Genomic DNA, 22053 nt, shown 5'->3' with positions numbered 1-22053 from the left:
TGTAAACAGCTGCTAAAATGTGCTGCTTAACTGGCTAGAGCTTAGACCTCTAATGGAATAATGAAGTTCACTTTTTAAAGTGCTACTTACTTCTAAGAAGGTCAATATTCTTTGGAAAGTTTAAATTACCCAGTAGGTGTTGATATTTACACTGTCTCTAGGAGAAGCGGAAGCCTTGTCCGTTGTTTGCCCTATATCAGGTGCCCCCATCCCATCCAAATATAACTCTTCCTGGAACACAAAGGTCAGGGAAGGAGCTGCAAAGCGAGTAGCCCTTAGCTTTGTTCTACATTTCTCCTTTCTGGGTAGAGGAGAGTAGTAGTAGAGAGAGAAAATTGGGGAAGAGTAAATGGATTACCCTTCGGTAGTTGTTCTTGGACAGGGAGGACTCCTTGGGGATGCTTGATCCCATCTCATCTGGGACCAGCTCACCAGAGTCTCAGTCACACTTAGAAGCAGTTCAGGTTAAATAAAGATTCCTGCTGGGAAAATGTGAAAGAAAATGAGTTTTGTTCACTTTGACAGAGAATACAAGTTAAACAAGTTGTTGTAAACTGACACAATGTTTATTGTTGCTTACAATGTTGTGTAGTTGTTGTGTACAATGCAATATAGTTGTCATAGTTGTCTTTATTTCCAATGTGGAAGGACATAGGCAGTTATACAGTGTTCTTGGTTCTGATGACAACACTCAAGATTATCGAATGTCATGGGTTGTGTTTTGCAAATATTATAAGAAGGTTTATTTTATTTTTAATAAATGGCATTGTGGCTTAATACAGCTTATTACTTAAGGTTATTTCTGAGCCTAAATTTGTCTTGTGATGCGTGTGTGTGTGTGTGTGTGTGTGTGTGTGTGTGAAGAAAAAAATAGGAAAATAAATTATCAACTGTGTATTTTGGGGGTTTCCTTTTAATTAAAAGTGTTTTTTTCTCTTTTTTTTTTTTCCTGAAACAGAATCTCACTCTGAAACCCAGGCTGGAGTGCAGTGGTGTGATCTCACTCACTGCAACCTCCGCCCCCCAGGTTCAAATGATTCTTGTGCCTCAGCCTTCCGAGTAGCTGGGATTACAGGTATGTGCCACCACACCCAGCTAATTTTTTGTATTTTTAGTAGAGACAGGGTTTCACCATGTTGGCCAGGCTGGTCTCGAACTCCTGACCTGAAGTGATCTGCCCACCTTGGCCTCCAAAGTGCTGCGATTACAGGCGTGAACCACCACTCTCAGCCTAATTAAAAATCTTGATATAGATTTTGGTGACATAGCTCAAACAGATGGGCATGCCCTCTCTCCCCACACAACACATACACTCTCAGAGTGACCTAACAGATGTGGAAATTTACATTGCTTCTGTGAGCACCAAACAATAAAATTCTACACATTGCTAATAAACATGCATTTTAATATCTCTGACTGTATATGTGAAAAGAACTATTCTTTACAAGAAGTTTCACGTAATCATTGTGAAATGCATTCTAAAAGAGAAATGCATCGTTTGTTTTATAGATGTTCAGAGAGTTTCTGCCACATCAAAACTTGAAAGCAGGTTGGTGGATGGGAGGCAGAGAAATAGAACATAACTGACAGAGGTTCTCAGAGGGAGTGTGATAAGAATAACTGTGAATGAAGATATGGGTATTAGCACATGCAACTCGGTGTCTGAAGAGTTGGTTTGGGGCAGAACAAAAATATCCTCTGAGCCTCCCTGAAGGTAGTAGCTGAAGCCAAATGTTTCCGAGGCTTACACTGATACAATAAAAAGAGACAATTTGCTTGGAAGGCTGTGGCTAATTTATAACACAATGTCCAATGTCATGGTTAGTTTTGTTGCAAAAATTTGGCAGTTTAACCCAGAGTCTCAGGCAGCCTGAAAAGATGCGAGCGGTTCTGGCCGCAGCATCTCTGGCTTGCTGGATGTTCCGAATGGTTCAAACAAGCCCTTTCATAGAGACGCAGGGCCAAGTGCGCTCAAAGGAATGAGGGAAACAAAGGTGGCTCTGAAGTCATTTCCCCGCACTGGGTCCAGCCATCCGGTTTCACTCCTTCCCCATTGAACCGGCAGAATGCAACAGGAAGAGCGGGGATGAAAGAGAACAAACAGGCCGATGTGTTTGGGGAGAGAATGGAGAGAGGCCGCGGCGCTGAGCTGCTAAACTTTTTCATTCTAGGTTTTCAGAAAGGAGTGAATGATGAATTATAGAAACCTGAAAGGTAATAAAATATGGGTCACTGAAGCGCTGAGGCCAAGTTCCTAAAACACCTGCAGAGGCAGAAGGTTCTGGAAGTCAGTGCAGCCCCACAGTTGCCCGGGCAGACACCCTGCCCGAGACACAGAAGGGGACTTGTTCACAAGCTCACCTGTTGTTTTCCCGTTGGCTCCCGGTCCTTCCCCGTCTGTAAGAGCTGACGGCTGGATCTGACTCCAGATTAGACCACCAGGGGAAGAAAGGCCGTGTGAAGACTTCCCAGGGTGCAGTTAAGGAGACCAGAGCTCCAAGGCCACCGCCTTTTTCTCTCGGAGGCGCTCTGACCTGGAAATATTAACTCAGTGGTGAGGACTATCCGAGTTGAACATGCAAATCTTCTTCCCTGCAATATTCTAAGGCTTTTCTGCTCAAAGACATGGACTGTTTATGTCTTACAAAGAAGAGTCCTGATCCCCAGATTGGGGATAACAGCAGCTATACTCATCTGAGCCTCAGTTTCCTCATCTCTAAAATGGGAGTAATAGTATTTATCTCCTAGGGTTGTTGTACAGTTGAGAAGGAAATGTAAGAGAGGGCCAGGAGCAGTGGCTCACCCCTGTAATCCTAGCACTTTGGGAGGCCAAGGTGGGTGGATTGCTTGAGGTCAGGGGTTCGAGATCAGCCTGGGCAAATGGCGAAAACCCATCTCTAGGAAAAATACAAAAATCAGCCAGGTGTGGTGGTGTGCAACTGCTTGGGAGGCTGGGGTGGGAGGATTGCTGGAGCCCGGGAAGCGGAGGATGCAGTGAGTCATGATCACACCATTACACTCCAGCCTGGGCAAGAGAGCAAGACCCTGTCTGAAAAAGAGAGAGAGAGAAAGGAAAAGAAAGAAATGTAAGTGAGATGTCCCACCCAGAGCCTGGCACATAGCAGTATCTCAGTAAAATGATTAACAGTAGCTAATGTTTATCGAGTGCTTGCAATATGCCAGGCACTACAGCTAATACAACCTCTGAGCCTGACTCCTCCCACATATTAGAGTGCAGAGTCTGTGGTTAGACCCTTGGGGCTCCAACTGAGCCCTGTCACTTACTTCATTTATGGTTTCCATTCAGACTAACACAGTGTCCCAGCTCTATTTGTGTAAGTGTGTGCCTTCTCTGCATCCAGCATATGCGGTTTCCAGCCCCTTCTGTCCCTGGGCTCGCTGAATACCCAGGATGTTCCACTCATATGACCCTGTTTCAGGGATGCTGTCCTGGACACACTAAGCCAAAATCCAGCAACAACTTGCTAAAGAAATTGTAGCTGGGCGCAGTGGCTCACGCCTGTAATCCCAGCACTTTGGGAGGCCAAGGCAGGCGGATCACCTGAGGTCAGGAGTTCAAGACCAGCCTGGCCAACATGGTGAAACCCTGTCTCTACTAAAAATACAAAATTAGCTGGGCGTGGTGGCGGGTGCCTGTAATCCTAGCTACTCAGGAGGCTGAGGCAAGAGAATCGCTTGAACCTGGGAGGTGGAGGTTGCAGTGAGCCGAGATCACACCATTGCACTCCAGCTTGGGCAACAAGAGTGAAACTCCTTCAAAAAAAAAAAAAGTAAGAAAGAGAGAGAAAGAAAGGAAGGAAGGAAGGAAGGAAGGAAAGAAAAGAAAAGAAAAGTTGCAGAGATGGGAGCTCAGTGTGATGCTAGACACCCTTGGAGAGAGAAAGCTGTCATGCCAGCTTTGATGTTGGGCTACGCGGGTTGGAATCCTGGCTGCCTCATTTATTAACCATGTGACTTGGGAAAGATGCTTACCTGTCAGTACCTCAGTTTCCTCTATCTGCAAAACAAGAATAAAAATCGAATTAATCTCCTAGGAGGGTGGTGATTGAGTGAGGTGATATCTGTAAAGCACTGAGAACAAAGTGAGAACAGCGTTAGCTGTCATTATCATTTTACCAAGCCTTGTTATGAGTTGATTGTGTCCCCAAAATTCATGTTGAAGTCTTAACCCCCAGTCCCTCAGACTGTGACCTTACTTGGAGATAGGGTCATTGCGGAGGTGATTAGTTAAGATGAGCTCACTAGGGTAGGTTTCTTTTATATATATATATAATTTTTTTTTAAATTATTATTATACTTTAAGTTCTAGGGTACGTGTGCACAACGTGCAGGTTTGTTACATATGTATACATGTGCCATGTTGGTGTGCTGCACCCATTAACTCGTCATTTACATTAGGTATTTCTCCTAATGCTATCCCTCCCCCCTCCCCCCACCCCACAACAGGCCCCGGTGTGTGATGTTCCCTCTCCTCTGTCCAAGTGTTCTCATTGTTCAATTCCCACCTATGAGTGAGAACATGTGGTGTTTGGTTTTTTGTCCTTGCGATAGTTTCCTGAGAATGATGGTTTCCAGCTTCATCCATGTTTCTAATGCAACATGACTGGTGTGCTTATAAAAGGGAGAATTTGAACACAGACACTCACACAGGGAGAAGTCCATGTGAAGATGAAGGCAGAGATTGAGGTGACACTGAGATCAGGGTGACCCTGCAAGACAAGGAAGCTCAAAGATTGCCAGCAACCCCCAGACGCTGAGGAGGGCCTGGAGCAGATCGTCCCTCACAGCCTCCGAGGAACCCGCCCTGCCGACGCCTTGATCTTGGACTCCTGGCCTCCAGAAGTGGGAGACAGGACATCTCTGTTGTTTAAGCCACCCAGTCTGTGGTACTTTGTTGATGTCAGCCCTGGCAAATAGATACAGCCTCTGAGCCTCACTCCTCCTATGTGTTAGAGCACAGGTCTGCGGTGAGCCCTCCAGGGCTCAAACTTAGCCCTGCCACTTCCAAGTTTATCAACTCAGGCGAGTGACTCAACCTCCGTGTGCCTGAGTTAATTCACCTGTAAACGAAGCTCATAATGACACCCAACTCACAAGAGATTTTTAAAGCAAGGATCCGATGCATATCTGGCTAACCATCATGTTCACTGTTCTGTGTAGCTTGTTTTGGTGATTTCTGGGGACCTTGAGTCTGAAGGCAGAACTCTGTTCTAGGTCAGATTACCTGGGGGTCTTGTTCAAGTGCAGATTCTCATTCAGTGGGTTTGAGTGGGGGCTGAGATTCTGTTTTTCTTTTTTCTCTGTTAGAGATGGGGTCTTGCTGTGTTGCCCAGGTGGGAGTGCTGTGACTATTCATAGATGTGTTCATAGCTCACTGCAGCCTCAAACTCCTAGGCCCAGGTGATCCTCCTGCCTCAGCCTCCTGAATAGCTGGGACCATAGGTGCACAACAGGACACCTGGGGTATTTTCAATAAGCTCCCAGATGAAGCTGATGCCGGTCAGAGGACCACACTTTAAGTAGTGAGTAGCGAGGGTCAAGACGACCTCGGCAGGTTCCGTCAGGGATCATGAGACTGAATTTGAATTTTACAAGAAACCTTCCTTCCATATCCATGTCACTTAGGCACATGAATATTTGATGGAGTGCCCAACCATGCTTAAAGAAAAAGCAAAGTCGGCTTTGGAGAAAACAATGAGGAAACAACCACGGGCAGACATCCTACCTCTCGGGAGGGCTGCTCATTGGCGACAGGGACAGATTCGGAGAAGCCTGAGACCTCGGATTGGTCCTGCCCCTGGGAGAGGGGGTGGATGGATGACACATGGTGGGTGCGTGATTACCTGGAATGGGGCAGGGTGAAGAAGCCATGTGCCTGGAACATAGGCCAAGCCCATTCTTCTGTCTGACCTTGGCTCCAACTGTTCCTTCTGCCTGAAGCCTCCATCCAGGTCTTCTCAATGTTGAGGTCTTAGTGAAAATGTGAGCCCCCAGAGACCTTCTCAGACCACCCAACCCAATGGCCACCCTCCAGTCAGTTACTCTGTGGCCACTCCTCCCTGCTTGATTTTCCTCTTGGCACTCAGCAGCAGCTAAAGCCACCTCGGCACCTACTTGCCTACTTGTTTGTATGTGACTGTTCCTCCTGCTCTAGAGGCTTCCATGAAAGCCCTGCTCTCAGCTGGATCCCCAGTGCTTGGACAGGGCTGGTCCCTGAGTAGCTGCTTAATAAAGACTTGGATGAATGAGTGAAGAGGATGAATCTAGACTGACTGATCAAAGTCCTCTGACCCATTCAGGGGTCTTTGGTCAGTCATCTACTATGGTGCAGAGCCCTGTTCTAGGCCCTTGGAGAAAGTGTGGATTCCCTGCCTTCTAATCATTTGTAATCTGTTTGGGGATATGAAGGATGCCTACGTGAACGTCTGCCTAGCAATATCAGGTTACCAAGAAAGGCCAACAGTGGTATGGACGAGGGGTGAAGCCTGTGTGTTAGAGCTAGGGGAGGTCATCGGAGCTGCTGTAGACCTGAGCACACATATGCACTAGTAGATCTTATTAAAATGCAAAGTCTGGAGTCTGGTTCAGTGGGTCGGGGTGGAGCCCAAGGTTCTTCATTTTGATAAGGTGCCCAGGTGGTACTGATGCTTTGGTCTGAGGACCACAGTTTGGAGGACAGCAAGGCTTTACTTTTGAGGGTTGGGTGACGGAGAGTTTGCTGGCAGCTGAAGTGTCTTAGAGGGGGTTTGATAAGCACAAGGAATGGGTGGGTTGGGGGGTCAAGAAAGGGACAGGCAGAGAGGCGGAGTAATGAGACCATTATGTATGGAATAGAGAACGGGAACAGGATGGAAGGACAAGTGAGGAGGATGGGGGAAAGGAAGGGGTAAAATAGGGAAAATTCCCCAGCCACAGCCACTGTGATCTGCACCCTCCCTGCAGTCTTCTGTTTTTAATAGCAGTTTCTAGAAGGATTGAGACACTGGTGCATTGCCTTCCTCTGGTCTGTCAATCAGTCAGAATGTGTTTTCAGAAATGTTGCAACCTGAGATTGCCCAACAGGAGTTGGGCAGGGGCAGAGCTAGCTCAGCAAAAGAGGCTGCTTTGAAGTCCAGGTTTGTGGGTGCATGCTCTGCAGCAGAGGTCTGTGGTCACCTCTAACCAGCTGTGATAGAGATGTTCCCTGCAGAGGAATAGCCCCACACTTATTTTTTGTAAACCACCTTCACATCTGTTATCTCATTTTAGCCTTACAGAACTCCTATGGGGCTGGGCAGACAACTGTTCGTTTTGCAGATGAGGAAGCTGAGGCCAGCCCAGTAACACTTGATGCAGAGCCCTGGCTAAACAGACAGGAAAGAATTGTTCTCTGAGTCTCTCATACTGTGCCTCTTGCCTCAGTGCTCGTACATGTTAACATGTGTGCAGGATTGGACACCCGCAGTTCTTTGATCAGAAAAGCCTTCCCAGGAAGTTTGCAGAATGATGATCTCTTGATCACCAGAATTTTCTTGCCAGGTTGGGATGCGGTCCAGCCTCATGGTGCTAGAATATTCTAGAATCTCCCCAGGGTGGGCTTGGCCTTCCGTCAACTCCCCGCTGATGGGAGGGAAAGCGGTGCAGCTGTGGCAACTGGCACTGCTTCCCACATTGCATGGAGACTAAGGTCAGAGTCAATTTCATGCTCCTTCCTCCCCTATTATGACCTTCATTATCCTGGCGCATGGCAGCTGCTTGTCTCCAAATGAGGAGACAGGAAGTATTATATCACTATTAATAACATTTAAGAAGAGCAATAACACCATTATTAACTCCTGTGATTCTTCCCAATTTGAGTGGTGGATGCTTTTAAGTTCTGTAGAGTGTTTAGGGCAAGTTTTCTTTGCTTTACCAGATCAGGGACTCGCCTGCATTGTTGGACTCTTGCCAACAGAGCAGAATTCATGTGCCCTTTATCAAAGGGAAGAACTGAGGTGGCTGTCACTCTTCAGGTCTAAAATTCTGCGCTGCTGAGAGTATCAGAAGTCAGTATTAGCCTGGATCAAAACCGCGTCTCTGCCAAGGACAGGAGATTCCTGGTGCCTCCTGCCCTGGGCTGGGTTCCAGCTGGCTGGGTCACCCATCACTGGCTGCTTCTTGGTTTCATCTGTTTCAGGCCCTGCCTGCTCTGAGCTGGTGGAACCCAATGGGGCACAGGGGGATTGCTGCTGCTGGAGAGGCTCGCTGGGATGCTCTCGGGATACAACTTTTTTCTGTCACTCCCCAGCCCCGCCTTTATGCCGCCTCTCAGCCCATCTGCAGTAGTGTAGGTTCAGGATCCCTTCATGGGCCTCTGGAGGTTTGCACTGTAAACAATACACTCAACAGACAACTCCAACTCCCCATTCACGTCTTTCTCCAGCATCCACTACCCATGTTAAGTTTTGCTCTCTTTCCACCCTTTTACCTTTCCAATCTCTCTGGCTCCTCCCTGCATTATTACACATATTAATTCAGCACAATCCTGGCCCCAGCCCCCAGCTCCATCCCCCTGCCCACCCGCTAACAGAACTCACCCTCTTCCGAAGATGCATTTTTAACTTACCATACTTTTGCAACTCATCATTCTTTTCCAGTCAAAAGCACTGCTTTTTCTAAGAGGACTTCTGGTGAATGACTTCTCTATGTCTTATTAATCGTAGATGCCGACTGCAGCCCAGAGAAAGGGAGGCATCGTGAGCTGGCGACAGCCCATATTGTGCCCACTCTGCAGGCTCTTTGGATGTTCACACCCAGCCTCCTTCCCTGGCCTCCCCCAGCACTGTACTGCAGATGGGTTCTCCACCCTGGCCAAGAACTCCTGGGCAGGCCTCTGAGCCCACCCATTTCCCACACTGCTCCCTGTTCTTACCCTCCCTGCTCTCTTGTTCTGGAAGCCATATGGATGTTGCAAATATCCCTGATGCTGAGGCCACACCGTGGCTGCATGTCTGTGGGAGACTGTGTGCTGAGTGGGGAATGCACTGATCATCCTGATTACAGACTGACAGTGGATGCCTGGTGCCTCCTGTTCTCTGTGGTCATGGTTGGAATTAGAGCTGCCCCTGGATGCTCCGACTCAGCCACCTGCCCTGGGCCTGGACTGCAGAGGCTCCACTCGGGCCCCGACTGGCTGTGCCCCTTTCCATGGGTGAGGAGTACTCAGGGCCATGGGGACCAGTCCACCCAGAGCTTGCCCCCATCCTGTGCACGTGCACGAGGCCCGCAGCACAAGACGGAGCTGGGGATGCGGAGAGGAGAGGGACGGGATACAGGCCATGGGGCCTTATTTCTCTTCTTTCTCCTAGGTCTCACAATATTCGGAGTAGCCTCATTTGACCCTTCAGTTTTTACTTTCTTCTGGATAAATGACCAGTGTCCAAGCTTCCGCTAATATGCATAGGAGGAGACCACCCTGGCTTCAACTCCAAACAAAATGTAAACCAGGCAGGTTGTCTGTTCTCTCTTGAAAGCCTTTGTAGCTTTCTAACATACTGAGGATTAAATCCAAGGGCCCAAAAGATTCTACCCAACCTGACCCCTGAGCTTTTGGGTTTTTGGAAGCAGTGGCCATATTAGAAGTTGGACGGTCTTGCTTGGGGCTACACTGAGAGAGAGAGAGAGAGAGAGGCCCTGAGACTGCACAGGGGTGGAGTGGGGGGAGGGTCTGTCTGCCTCTCAGACTCCCTGTCCTGCCCCTTCTCCATCCCCGCTCCCAGCCCCAGCCCTGCAGTTACCTTGCTCCAACTGCACAGGCCCCATGGACCTTTCTGCAATACCCCAGCCTCGTTCCTGCCTCTGTACCATTGCTCTTGCAGTTTTCTGTCCTTGGAGCACCTGTCCTGTGGAGCCTCAGGGTATACACACTTCTCCAGGTTTCTCCTCCAAAGTCATCTTATCTGAGCTGCCTTCCCTGCCCCAATATCCATGTAGTAACCATCCTTTTCCCTATAAGCTTTGCTTTTTTTCCAGCCTAAAATTATATTGTAAATATTTTTGTCCCCAGGGCCTAGGACTCTGCCTGGGACATATAAAGTCCAGGATAAGTACTTGTTGAATGAATGAAAATCCAGCCATGGATTTTGTTTGGCTGCATAAAGAGAAAATCTCTGCCACACATCTTTATTTTTTATTTTCCATAGAGATGAGGGTCTCACTATGTTGCCCAGGCTAGTCTCAAACTCCTGGCCTCAAGCAATCCTCCGGCCCCGGCCTCGGCCTCCCAAAGTGCTAGGATTATAGGCATGAGCCTCCATGCTTGGCCAACCACACATCTTTTATAGAGGCATCTTGACCTTGGGGAAACAAAACGTCCACAGCGGACATAACAGACTCCAATACCCCACCCCACACTTCCTGTTTATCTTTTCCCATTTGAGGGGAATCCTGTCCACCACTGTCCTTTTGGGGTTACTGCACAGCCTCAGACAGACAGTGTTCATGTGCAGCCAGCCTCCATTTATCACCAGATGCAAATCCCGAGGGAGCTCAACTCCAGCCTGCTGCACAAAGGCTGTCAGATCCTCCGTTCTCCTCTGCTAGATGTGCACAAATGCCCACTAAGAGTCCGTGGAGACCAGGCACCCTCTGCTTTCTCATGTTGGACTTCCCCCTGAGGCTGTTATCAGCCTTGAGCAATTGCTTACATACTGCAAACTGCTTTTGTTCACATTTGCGCAGGGAGAATTTTCCATCCTTGGCTAGATGGTGCCATCCATGTTCATCCATTGCCAGTACTCTCATGTGGCTGAGAATTAAGTCCCCGGGGGGAATGGCAGACCCAGCCTCTCCTGTGCTGTCCTGAGGGGAGCACCACTCAAAGATGGAGACTGATCTGTTCAGCCCTTGCAGGGGCAGAAGGTGGAAAGGGTGAGCTCCTAAGGTAGCTGGCTTCCAAAGATAGCCCCCACTGCAACACACCTCCAGTACCCAAGTCTATGTGTAATTCCCTTCCAAATTAAATCTGGGCTGGCCGCGTGACACACTTTAGTCAACAGGATGCAATAGAAGTGAAGTTATACCTGTTCTGGGCCTAAACCTTAAGGAAGTCTGGCAGCCTTCACTTTTGTGTTTTTGGAAGCCAGCTGCCATTTTAGAAGCTCAGCCAGAGGGGCCACATGGAGAGAGGGAGAGATGTCCTGAGTCTACATGGAAAGAGAGGAAAGGGACCCAAGACCTCAGACCTTAACCCAAGGCCTTGTGAGCCCCCCACCGAGCAGATCCAGCCAACCCCCTCCATTTAAGCCATCCGTGCCAATTATTTAGTGGTGACCCTGACTGATCCTAGCTGAGGCACCAGACACGGGAGGGAAGAAGCCGTCATGGACATCCCAGCCCCGCTCATGGAGCAGAGGGGAGCCATCCCCATGATACCCTCTCCAGACTTCCCACCCTCAGGGTCTTGAGAAATCATGAACTGGTGGTTGTAAGTCACTAAGTTTGGAGATAGTTTGCTCTGCTACAATATAGAATTGAAACAGCCCCCAGCCCTTGTGTGTGCATAACTCTTGCCTGCATTTCCTAACTGTAAAAATGTTTCCATGGGTCTGACTCCCCCTGCCAACCACATACAACAAGAAGAGCTGTCTGCCCCTTTGGGCATGGGAAGTGCGTCTGACTAGGTGTTTCTGTATTGGACATAGGCATATCACATGGAGGTAAACTGCTGAGGAAGCCCCTTGTATTTTTTTATTTTTTACAGACATTTGCATTTAAGCTCTATGGATATTTGAGACATCCAAGGAAATAAAAAGTTCAAAACATTGTAACTGGGGAGGTGGGAGATGGAAGACCTTCAGGTGACTCTGAAATAACCTCACGCGGGGGCATGCCCAGCTTCCATTCTTGTGTCTAAGAGATTTGTAGAGTTATTTTGCATTCACATTAGTGAGATTGATGGTGGCCAGTTGTCACCTTCATTAATAGTAAAGACAAAATGGCTCTATAAATCTCTTAGACATTTGGAATATGCCTGAAAACAATATGTGGCAGTTTTTCAAGCATCCCTATTTTGGGCCCCAAGGCACACATGAGAATGTGGAACAGTGTGGAACAGTCTGGAATAATCTAGAACAGTCTGGAACAGTGAAAGGGATGAGCCTAGTCCAGTGGCAGAAGCCCTGATCCTGGTCTTGGCTCTGCCATGTGACTCTGGGAATCTCTTGACCACATGACCCATGGAACAATATTAGAGTGATAATAACCTGACCTGCTGACCTCATAGACACCAAAGATTATGGAAAACTTTGGTAGAAGCATTCAAAGGGAGCTGCCTCCTTAGAAGGGATTCATGTTCACCTCACAAATGGACCACTGAGTCCTCATCAGACATTGGGGTTTGTCTTCCAGGCTAATTATTTAATTTGGGAGAACCTTTCCAGTTGATACTTATATTGACATTCCATCTATTTTCCTCTGTCCTACCACAGTGGCTATCCACAACTGATGGGGATAAAAAGCTCATTGGAGTGCCCCTAGGCAGCATTCTTAAATTGTTCCTGTTGATCAGTTCTGCCAGCTTATGGTCTGTAGGAGTGGAATGAAGTGATATCTGGGAAAACTAACCATTCATCTACCTCACTTGACAGCTGCTTCCTGATTATTTATTCTCTGAAATAGCTTTGGATAAGAGGAAAATAAAGCTTTGCTTTGTTTTAATTTGTGTAAAACAACTTCCCATTTCTGGGTCCACCATGTGACCAATGCATTTCTGCCTAAGGAGGATAACTAATAAAAATGACCTATTTTAAGGTCAGTTATGTTATTGCTATCAAGAAATGTATATGCATTATTGATGTCCATTCTCATGACAACTGGGAGAGGTAGGAATTTTACAAAAAAGCTGAGGTTAAATGGTGGATGCCAGTCACACTGCTGGTAGATGGTGGTGCTGGTGTTCAAACCCAGATCTGCCAGACTTCAAGAGCCCATTAACTTGCAATTATAAAGAGTATCAATTATCAACTGACCAGGTGGACCTCTTTCTTTGGTGCCTTAATTCTAGATCTGTCCAGTTAGTGGAAGCATTGCGCTGATGCAGGTTGACAGTGTGCCTTTCTATAGTGGTCCAGATGGGGGATTCTTGGATTCCCTATAAAGAGGAGAGAAAAGCCAGTCAAGGGTGCCTGGGAGCTCTCCAGTCTCAGAGGAGTTAAACTGAGGGGTTCCCTCACTAGCTGGCATCAAGACTTCCTACTGCTCTGTGGACCCATCAGAGGAGCTGAATGCTGCCTGGATTCTAGACCCCGTTCTATCACCAACTAGCGTGGTGACCTCAGGCCATTTCCCCTTTGGGCCCATTGCACAGAGGGGTTCAACTCTTCTCTTAGGTCTTTTCAAGTTCTGGCTTTCTTTGAAATAGAATTGGACCATTTTTAAAGACTCAAATTCCACCAGAGTAGCCCCTATGTAACAGTAGAAGACAAAGACAGAGAGGGCCTCTCTGTATTTGAAAGTGGTTTATTTTGCAATGATCTTAGAGGATGGGGTTGATATTTGGCCAGGGGACCTAATATATCTCCAGTCTGGGTGGGGAGTTAGAGCAAGTGGTGCTTTTGTATTAGGTCCCTTAAGAAATGGAAGAAAGATTCCTTTCCCAACATACCTTGGGAATAAGATATGTTGGAATTCTACCACCCAGTACCTCAGAAAGTGACTGTATTTGGAAGTAGAGGTAATCAATTAAAGAGGTAATCAAGTTAAAATGATTTCTTTAGTGTGGGCCCTAATCCATTGTGACTCATGTCTTTCGGCAAAGGGGAAATTTGGACACAGAGACAGATACGTATGGAAGGGAGATAACATGAAGACCCATGGAGAAGACAGCCCTCTAGAAGCCAAGGAGAGGGGCCTGGAACAGATCCTTCCCTCACGGAAGGAACCAACACAATTGACAGCTGGATTTTATACTTCTGGCTTCCAGAACTGTGAGCCAATAAATGGCTGTTGCTTAAACGACCCAGTTTGCTATACTTTGTTATGGCAGCATGAGCTAACGAATACACATTTCCCCAGAGGAGAAAAAAGTCAGGGAGAATTCCTGATCAAAACGGGTTTTCAGCCGAAAAAAGTTGGACTCGGTTCTGAGAAGAGGGTGGAGACAGACTTCTAAGGTGGGGTGTGCAAGAGAATATTGGGGACCCAGGGACATTCTGGTATTCATCCCCTGTTTTCATAGTTTGCCTTTTCCAAAGAGAAGGTGAGGACATGGGCCAAGACTTTTCCCCATTTGGACGCTCCCCTCCACTCCTATTCATTTGAAGGTATATTTAAAAATTGGAACTATAAGAATTTAAGTAGCTTTTAAAATTAGCCAAGCCTATTTTAGCTTCTAGTTGCCTTCCCTTTGACTGTGGGGTGGCCTTCCCTTCTGGACCCACCTAAAACGTGATCTGCTTTTCCACTCTTGCAATTTACAACTCCTCAAATCCATTGTTCTTTGTGTTGGAAAATACAAAGTGCGCCTGGCCCAGCAGACCCAGATCCGCTCGGATCCCGAGGAGTGGAAAAGCCTTTTCTGGCCTGGCAGTTGCAGGTGACAGTCCTAACCAGTCCGGGAGCAGATGAGAAGTTCATAGGCTATTAATAAACTGGAACCAATCGGTGAATGCGGGCTGATTGTGCCGGGGCCGGCTGGGGCCACAGGTCCTTGGGAGAGCTCGCACTTGCGTTGCCTTTATCTGCATAGAGCAGGATCATGAAAGCGCCGGCCGCTGTCAGTGTTTGTCAGAGTGAATGGACATATGTCCCTCACACTAGCACGGGGAATATCTAATTAAGCTACACAATGATTGCTTATGCCCGGGGCTGTTACAAACAAGGCTCTGTCACTCTCCTTGGAGAACCACAAAATGGGAATTCTCTTTTAGTGCATGATAATGAATATATTTGAAATATATTAGAATTGATTTAGATCTCACATTCTTAGCCCTTAAAAAAAAAAGCACACAAATGCTGTTTTCACAAAAATATTTTGTCCTTTTAAGTCCCACAGTGGGAGTGGGGTTGGGGGTGGGGGTGAGGGAAGGCTATCGGTAAATATCAGTGGGTTGATTATGGTGTTTGGTAGAACTTGCTTTCCTGTTGTTCTTAATGAATGAGTTAGGATTTTTGTGCCAGAAATTTATTTCATACATTAGCAGAGATGTTAATGTATACGACGTGGGGAGCCTACATGTTTAAGAGTTTTAAGGAGTGAAGATGTTTTTCTTGTGTTGGACTTCCCTTTCCTTCCTTAGGCCTAGGTAGGACTCATAGGGAAATTTATTTAGGTTGGTGCAAAAGTAATTGCGGTTTAGGCTGGGCATGGTGGCTCATGCCTGTAATCCCAGCACTTTGGGAGGCTGAGGCGGGCGGATCACTTGAGGTCAGGAGTTTGAGACCAGCCTGGCCAACATGGTGAAACCCCGTCTCTACTAAAAGTACAAAAACTAGCCAAGCGTGGTGATGGGCACCTGTAATCCCAGCTACTTGGGAGGCTGAGGCAGGAGAATCATTTGAGCCCGGGAGGCAGAGGTTGCAGTGAGCCAAGATCGCGCCACTGCACTCCAGCCCAGGCGACAGAGTGAGACTCTGTCTCAAAACAAAACAAAACAAAACACAACAAAACAAAACAAAAGTAATTGTGGTTTAATGGCAAAAACCACAATTACTTTTGCACCAACAAAAATAGTTTTCTTTAAAACTGAATCATTTTAGCACATTGGACTGAAGTACTGAATCCCGTTTAAGACTCATGTTGCTACTTTAAGATGAACAGCAATTTTTAACAGGAAAAAATATGATCTTGGGTTAGGACTTAAGAAGTGAGTTTTTTCTGCCTTCCACAGTTATGACCAGGAAAAAACTACGGCTCCAGCCATGGAAGTGGGGACAGTGTGAAGAGAGCCCTGGCTGGGATATGGAAAACTGTGGGAACCACCTCAAGGAGTCTTTCATTACCAAGAGCAAAACCAGCTACATGATTTTTGAGCCTTAGTATGAAATGTAAATATGGGGCCCCCTTATTTAAAAGTCAGGAAGGGCTGACAGCAGAGCATTGACCACGTTCAAGGCTCTTCCAAGCACGGGGTTCTACGCCACTGTCCCAATGGGTCATGCACACCTGAAGCTGGCCCTGCCCAGAGCCATTGTTCTGTACTCCATAAGGAGAAGGAAGGAGGTGGCAAAGGACAATTTCAAGTCCTAATTTCTATACAGTCCATGGTCCCAGAGTAGGTACTCAGATGAGATAGAATGAATTGAAAAATGAACTTCATATTGAACCTGTTCATCGTCATCAGGTGAATTTCAAGAATGAAGGAACCCCACTGACATTGGCAGCTGTGTTTTAGAGACCGTTTTTTTTTGTACTTTTCTCACTTAAAGTGTAGGACTGCCTCCTCTTCACCACCACCTCCCATCCCAAACTCTGCCAGAGTCCATCAGTGCAGAGAACGAGGTCCTTTTAAGAGCTAGGCATCTGGTAGGCCAGGCGGAATTCTGAGAAGAAAATAAAACTTCTGCCATCTTCACAAGTTAAGAAATAAAAAGCCTCAATTAGCATTCACGCAAATGTTGGGATCCCTGGCTGTGATTGGCTTTTGCCTACGGAGCAGGTAGGGTCTAGGGCACATCTGTCTCTTATTGGCTCCATCCCTAGGACGTATGCACAGATGAGGCAGCCTCAAATGTCCTGGCCCCTCTGCGTGGGACCCCTGGCCCACCCCTCACCCCGTCGGCTCTTTCGTGCTGGGCCTGCTACTGGGAAATGGGTCTTTCCTGGCACTGCCCATAAGCCAGTGTGCATGAGAAAATGAGCTTGTTTTCTTTAGGGGAGGGCTGTTGGAAAGACTTGTCAGGTTTTTGAAAAATTGTGGTAAAACACAAATACCTGAAATCTATGATCATAACCTTTTTTTTTTTTTTTTTTTTTTGAGGCGGAGTCTCACTCTGTCGCCCAGGCTGGAGTGCAGTGGTGCAATCTCTGCTCACTGCAACCTCCGCCTCTTGGGTTCAAGCAATTCTCCTGCCTCAGCCTCCCAAGTAGCTGGGATTACAGGCGCCCGCCACCACACCCAGCTAATTTTTTGTACTTTTAGTACAGACAGAGTTTCACCGTGTTAGTCAGGATGGTCTCGAGCTCCTGACCTTGTGATCTGCCTGCCTCGGCCTCCCAAAGTGCTGGGATTACAGGCGTGAGCCACCGCGCCTGGCTGATCACAACCATTTTTAATTACAGCGACTGTTCAGGAGTGTCAACTATATTCATGTCATTGTACAGCATGTCTCTAGAACATTTTCATACCTGTTGGGTTTTTCAGACCCATCACCATGACCCCATAGGCCTTGGATTGCAGATATCCTATGGAAAGGAAGGACCCTTCAACATGGGAGGCACTTAATACTTGTGCATTACGTGAATAGAATGAAATGAAGCTCTGTGCCTAAAGCCTCACATATGACCAGCCCAATTCCCTGGAACCAGACAGAGTTGTGAGATGTTTTTTCTTGTCTCTTCATAACTGTTTATTTACAAAAGGAAGAAAAAGACTTTGCAGTCACTTGGATTCTTCGATCCACTTCTTGAGGCAGCTCTGATTTTGATTCCTAAATCGTTTCCTCAGTCTGTCGTGTTGGATCTGAATACATAAGGAGCCATAGCAACCTCCCAGCCATCTCAGGGCTTCATACAGTGCTTGGTATCCAATAGGTGCTTCATATTTGATGAATGAATGAGTAACTGACAGGTTTTCAGTGTTAGAGGGAAGCAAGGATACATGAAATAAATGTGTGATCTCTAAACCCCACTTAAGCCAGTGGCCTCAGCCCCTTGCCAGAGACCCTTGTCCTAGCAAAGCTGAAGGGATGTCAGGGCAAAGGGCATCAGTGCAGGGGACAGAGGGTGTGCACAGGACCAGGTGGTCAGAGAGCCCTGTCCTGGGAGGAATCATCTTTGAAACAAAAGGTATAAAAATATCTTTGGAAACAGAAAAGATGGGGATGCTCTGGGGGGGACCGAGATGGTGGGTGGGGCAGCTTGTTAAAAAGCAACTGGGAGTTGGTCTTAATGATGCCTGCTTGGGTGCAGTCAGATAACAGAGGCACTGCAAAGTCTTGCAGGAGGACATACAAGTGGGATTTCAGGAAATGATGAGAGGAGCAGGGAGAGGAATTCAAGGATTTAGGAACACAATCCTGTTTTTCTGTTTTGGCTGAAACAGAGCAGAATTTCCATGTTCCCACACATCCTTTCAAAAATGGGAAAATAACCTTGATGCGTCTGCAAGGAATGCCTGTGACGACAGACCGGCCCCTGGCAAGCCTTGAGGGAATGAAATTTGGGTTAAGGGGTTAAGACGGCAGCCCTTTAGAGACAGCGCTTCTGCAGCTGGGGCAGGTTCTCAGGCTGAGTCCAAAGGACCTGCAGGAAAAGGCAAAACTGTATCAGCAGAGTTTTCTTTTTTTTTCCATCCCCTGCTTCACTAAGGACAAATGTTGCAATTCCGGGGTGGTGGAAGAAGCTGCTGCTTTTTCTTCCAGATGAGTGGATTATTAACAATGGAGCAGAGAAGCTGCCATGCACCATTACAACCTTCCGAACCCAGTCGAGGAGACAGAGTCCAGCCAAAGAGAGGTGTAGGGTGACCCTGCTTGCCTCTGCAGGTGGGGTTTCAGAGCACACCCTTCATGGAGAAGTATTGGAGAAATGGTTGGAAAGTCACATCCTAAATGAATTCACAATATATGCCCCATGAGCCAATCACATCCTTTCCCTGGACCTCGATTTCTTCATCTTTGAGATAGGGGTCATTAGATCAGAATCACCTGGTAATTACGAACATACAAATTCGTGGCACTAACCCTTGAAGATGCTGACTCTAGGTTTGGGGTCAGGCCCTGCCATGGATGTGCCAGGGTTTGTGGGCTATGACGATGGAGCACAGGTCTCACCCCATACCATGAGTTGACTTTGCTCTTTCCATCATCAGGATTCTAGAACTCTCTGAGCAGAATCAACCCAAGGGTGGTCTAACTGTTAGCATCCCTCAATTCCCTGCTTCAATCTGATTCATCTATCAGGACCAGTTGAAATCTCCCTCCTTCCTGAAGCCTTCCCTGGCTTCTGGGCCCCTCGTGTGTTCTTTCTCTTCCCCTCTTCTAAATCATCCAGGACACATCTGTTGTCTCCTATGTGTAGAACAACATTATTTGGTGTTATCAGCTACCCTGTTGACTCTTTAGCTGGTCTTTCCAGAGAGAAGGGCACGAACCTCATTGGGAGATCCCTGTCTCCCTCCCGCCCTGACGCTATGGTGACTGACTTAAATTGGACTGCTCTCAGATGGTGCTTGCCAGGTCAGTGAGTCACTGCAGCATGGCTAATCACTACTCCACTTATTGTCAGGTCAGCTAAGTTAGCATCTGCTCTTCGATCCTTTCCAATGGAGCACGATATAGTTTATTAATTTCAGTCACCTTCATGCAAATCTCCCATGCATTTATTTCTTGTGATTTCATTAGCATGAAGGTTATGGTTTGGGTTTGTTCCATGACATGTTAGATTGCTCAAATTCTATGTACTTCTAAAAACTTCGTGCCTCGATTTGAAGAAGATTGGATGCCATCCACTCTCCTGGTAAGAGTCATGCTTTTCTTACCTGCTGTTTATATTATACTCTCTTGTCACAAAAATAAAAGAAGAAATTAACACTTTATTTATTTATTTATTTATTTTGAGACGGAGTCTTGCTCTGTCCCCCAGGCTGGAGTGCAGTGGCGCGATCTCGGCTCACTGCAAGCTCCGCCTCCCGGGTTCACGCCATTCTCCTGCCTCAGCCTCTTGAGTAGCTGGAACTACAGGTGCCCGCCACCACGCCCGGCTAATTTTTTTGTATTTTTAGTAGAGACGGGGTTTCACCGTGTTAGCCAGGATGGTCTTGATCTCCTGACCTCGTGATCCGCCCGCCTCAGCCTCCCAAAGTGCAGAGATTACAGGCTTGAGCCACCACACCCGGCCAAAATTAACACTTTAAAAGAGGAACGTGCATATGGAGAACGGTGGAGATAGAGTTGGGGGGCAGGGAAGGAGGCGAGGGGTAGGGGGATGATGTCACATGCCAGATGGAGAGAGCCTGCTTCCTACCATATCACCTTTCCTTGTTTTCCAGTCTCCTGATCCTGCCCCTCTTCTCTGGCATTGTTTTATAGTCCTTGTAAAAAAAAAATCGTAGCAAATCCCAGTTACCTCTTGGACATGGTGTGGGCAGGAGAATGCATGAGAAGTTTTGGAGAGAGAACTGTGTTGTATGTTATCTTACATGTGTCCCAATCTGGGGCCTAACCCTTGTTTTCTAACAATGGCACTGGATTTCTAAGCGATTCCCCAAGGCACATTGGCAGTGCCTTTAAGTACAGGTTTCTTGCCTGTTGACACTGATGAGGTGGATTCTGAATGCTTACACTGCAGATTTAGAATCAAGTGAGCTCTTTGTAATTACAGAAATGAGGCTTGTTCAGGTTGTGGGCAGGTCTGAAACAGACATGTCTCTTCTATATGCACATACGTGTCTGGCATACACTCCTGTCTCTTCTCTCTCTCTCATTTTTCCCTTGTAAAGTCTTAACCACTCAGCAGCCTAAGTCATACCTGCAGTTAGTCTCCTACTAAGAGGACTTACTAGGCAGATTCTCTTTTCTCTTGCCACTTTGTAAAATGGACCCTTTGCTTCCCTAAGCAGTTCTCTGTGACACTTGTCTTTCTCGTTCCATCCCTTTTCAGGGGAATCGTTATCTGTTGTGTTTTAATTGTACATCCCTTAGGGGGTTCCAGCCCTGTTCCACTCTCAGCAATTTTAATACTTCCTCCCAGTGTGCCATGCTCACCTGATTTCCCCCTTAATCCCATAAATCTCCTTCTACCAAACCTTAATACAGTGGTGATTAGCTTTCTCTGTGTCCATTTTGCACAACAGTGGAATTTTTGTATAACATCTTCCATAGGAGCAGCATCTGTAATTGCTTTGATCTAGAAGGGGTTGTGAGGAACAAGTCTAGTCAACACTATTAAAAATAAACCCCAACTAAATGCAATGTGCTGTCCTGTATTGGATACCCTGTATTCTTCTGCGGAACAAAGGACACTCATGGAAAAACTGGTGAACTCTGAACCAAATCTGTGGTTTAGTTAATGTCATTGTAACCATGTTAATTTCTTTCTTTCTTTCTTTCTTTCTTTCTTTCTTTCTTTCTTTCTTTCTTCCTTCCTTCCGTCCTTCCTTTCTCTCTCTCTCTTTCTTTCTTTTTCTTTTTACAGGGTCTTATTCTGTTGCCCAGGCTGGTGTGCAGTGGCGTGATCACAGCTCACTGCAGGCTCAGCCTCCTGGGTTCAACTGATCCTCCCCACCTCAGCCTCCCGAACAGCTAGGATGACAGGTGTGCACCACCACACCTGGCTAATAGATGGGGTTTTGCCATATTGCCAGGCTGGTCTTAAAGTCCTAGACTCAAGAAATTCACCCCCTTGGCCTCCCAAAGTGCTGTGATTGCAAGCTTGAGGTACCGCACCTAGCCATCCATTTTAATTTCTTAGTTGTGACAAATGTACCAAGGTTATGAAAGACGTGAACGTTAGAGAAAGCTGGGTGAGGTATATACAGGAAATTTCTGTACTATCATTGCAACTTTTCTGTGAATCTAGAATTATTCCACAGTGAAAAGTTAATTTAAAAATCAATGTTTTTAAAAAGAAAATTTAGAGGGGCCATGTATACTTTTTTGGTCTGCCCATACAGCGCAATCCTTATATGCCTGGGATGTTGAATCCCATCTCTGCAACTCACTAACTGCATGATGTCTGTGCTTCCGATTCCTCATGGGTAAAGTAGGAATAAAAATAGTCATTGAATCAGTACACCTGCAACAATGCTTAGCATATGGTAAGAGTGCAATCCATGTGAACTTTTCTTATTAACATTTTATTGAATTCAGTGTACAATTGGCGAGTCATATCAGAGTGCATTGTCTCTTAATTTTAAA

At 46.7% G+C, this 22053-nt stretch overlaps 1 long non-coding RNA gene across 1 annotated transcript; it reads right to left on the bottom strand.

The window, feature by feature from the left end:
• Window positions 1–1730: 1730 nt before the first annotated feature.
• On the bottom strand, window positions 1731–8981 carry LINC00945 (long intergenic non-protein coding RNA 945). The gene is made up of 5 exons (NR_104056.1): window positions 8912–8981; window positions 8606–8709; window positions 3994–4018; window positions 2362–2534; window positions 1731–2207 (listed from the first exon to the last, which is right to left on the bottom strand). It is a non-coding gene; the product is annotated as a long intergenic non-protein coding RNA 945 (long non-coding RNA).
• Window positions 8982–22053: the final 13072 nt, after the last annotated feature.

Source organism: Homo sapiens, chromosome 21 (assembly GCF_000001405.40).
Source record: "Homo sapiens chromosome 21, GRCh38.p14 Primary Assembly".
In the NCBI taxonomy this organism is placed as follows: Eukaryota; Metazoa; Chordata; class Mammalia; order Primates; family Hominidae; genus Homo; species Homo sapiens.
Note: the sequence above shows the minus strand (reverse complement) of the source record. Positions and strands in the feature narration are given on the sequence as shown.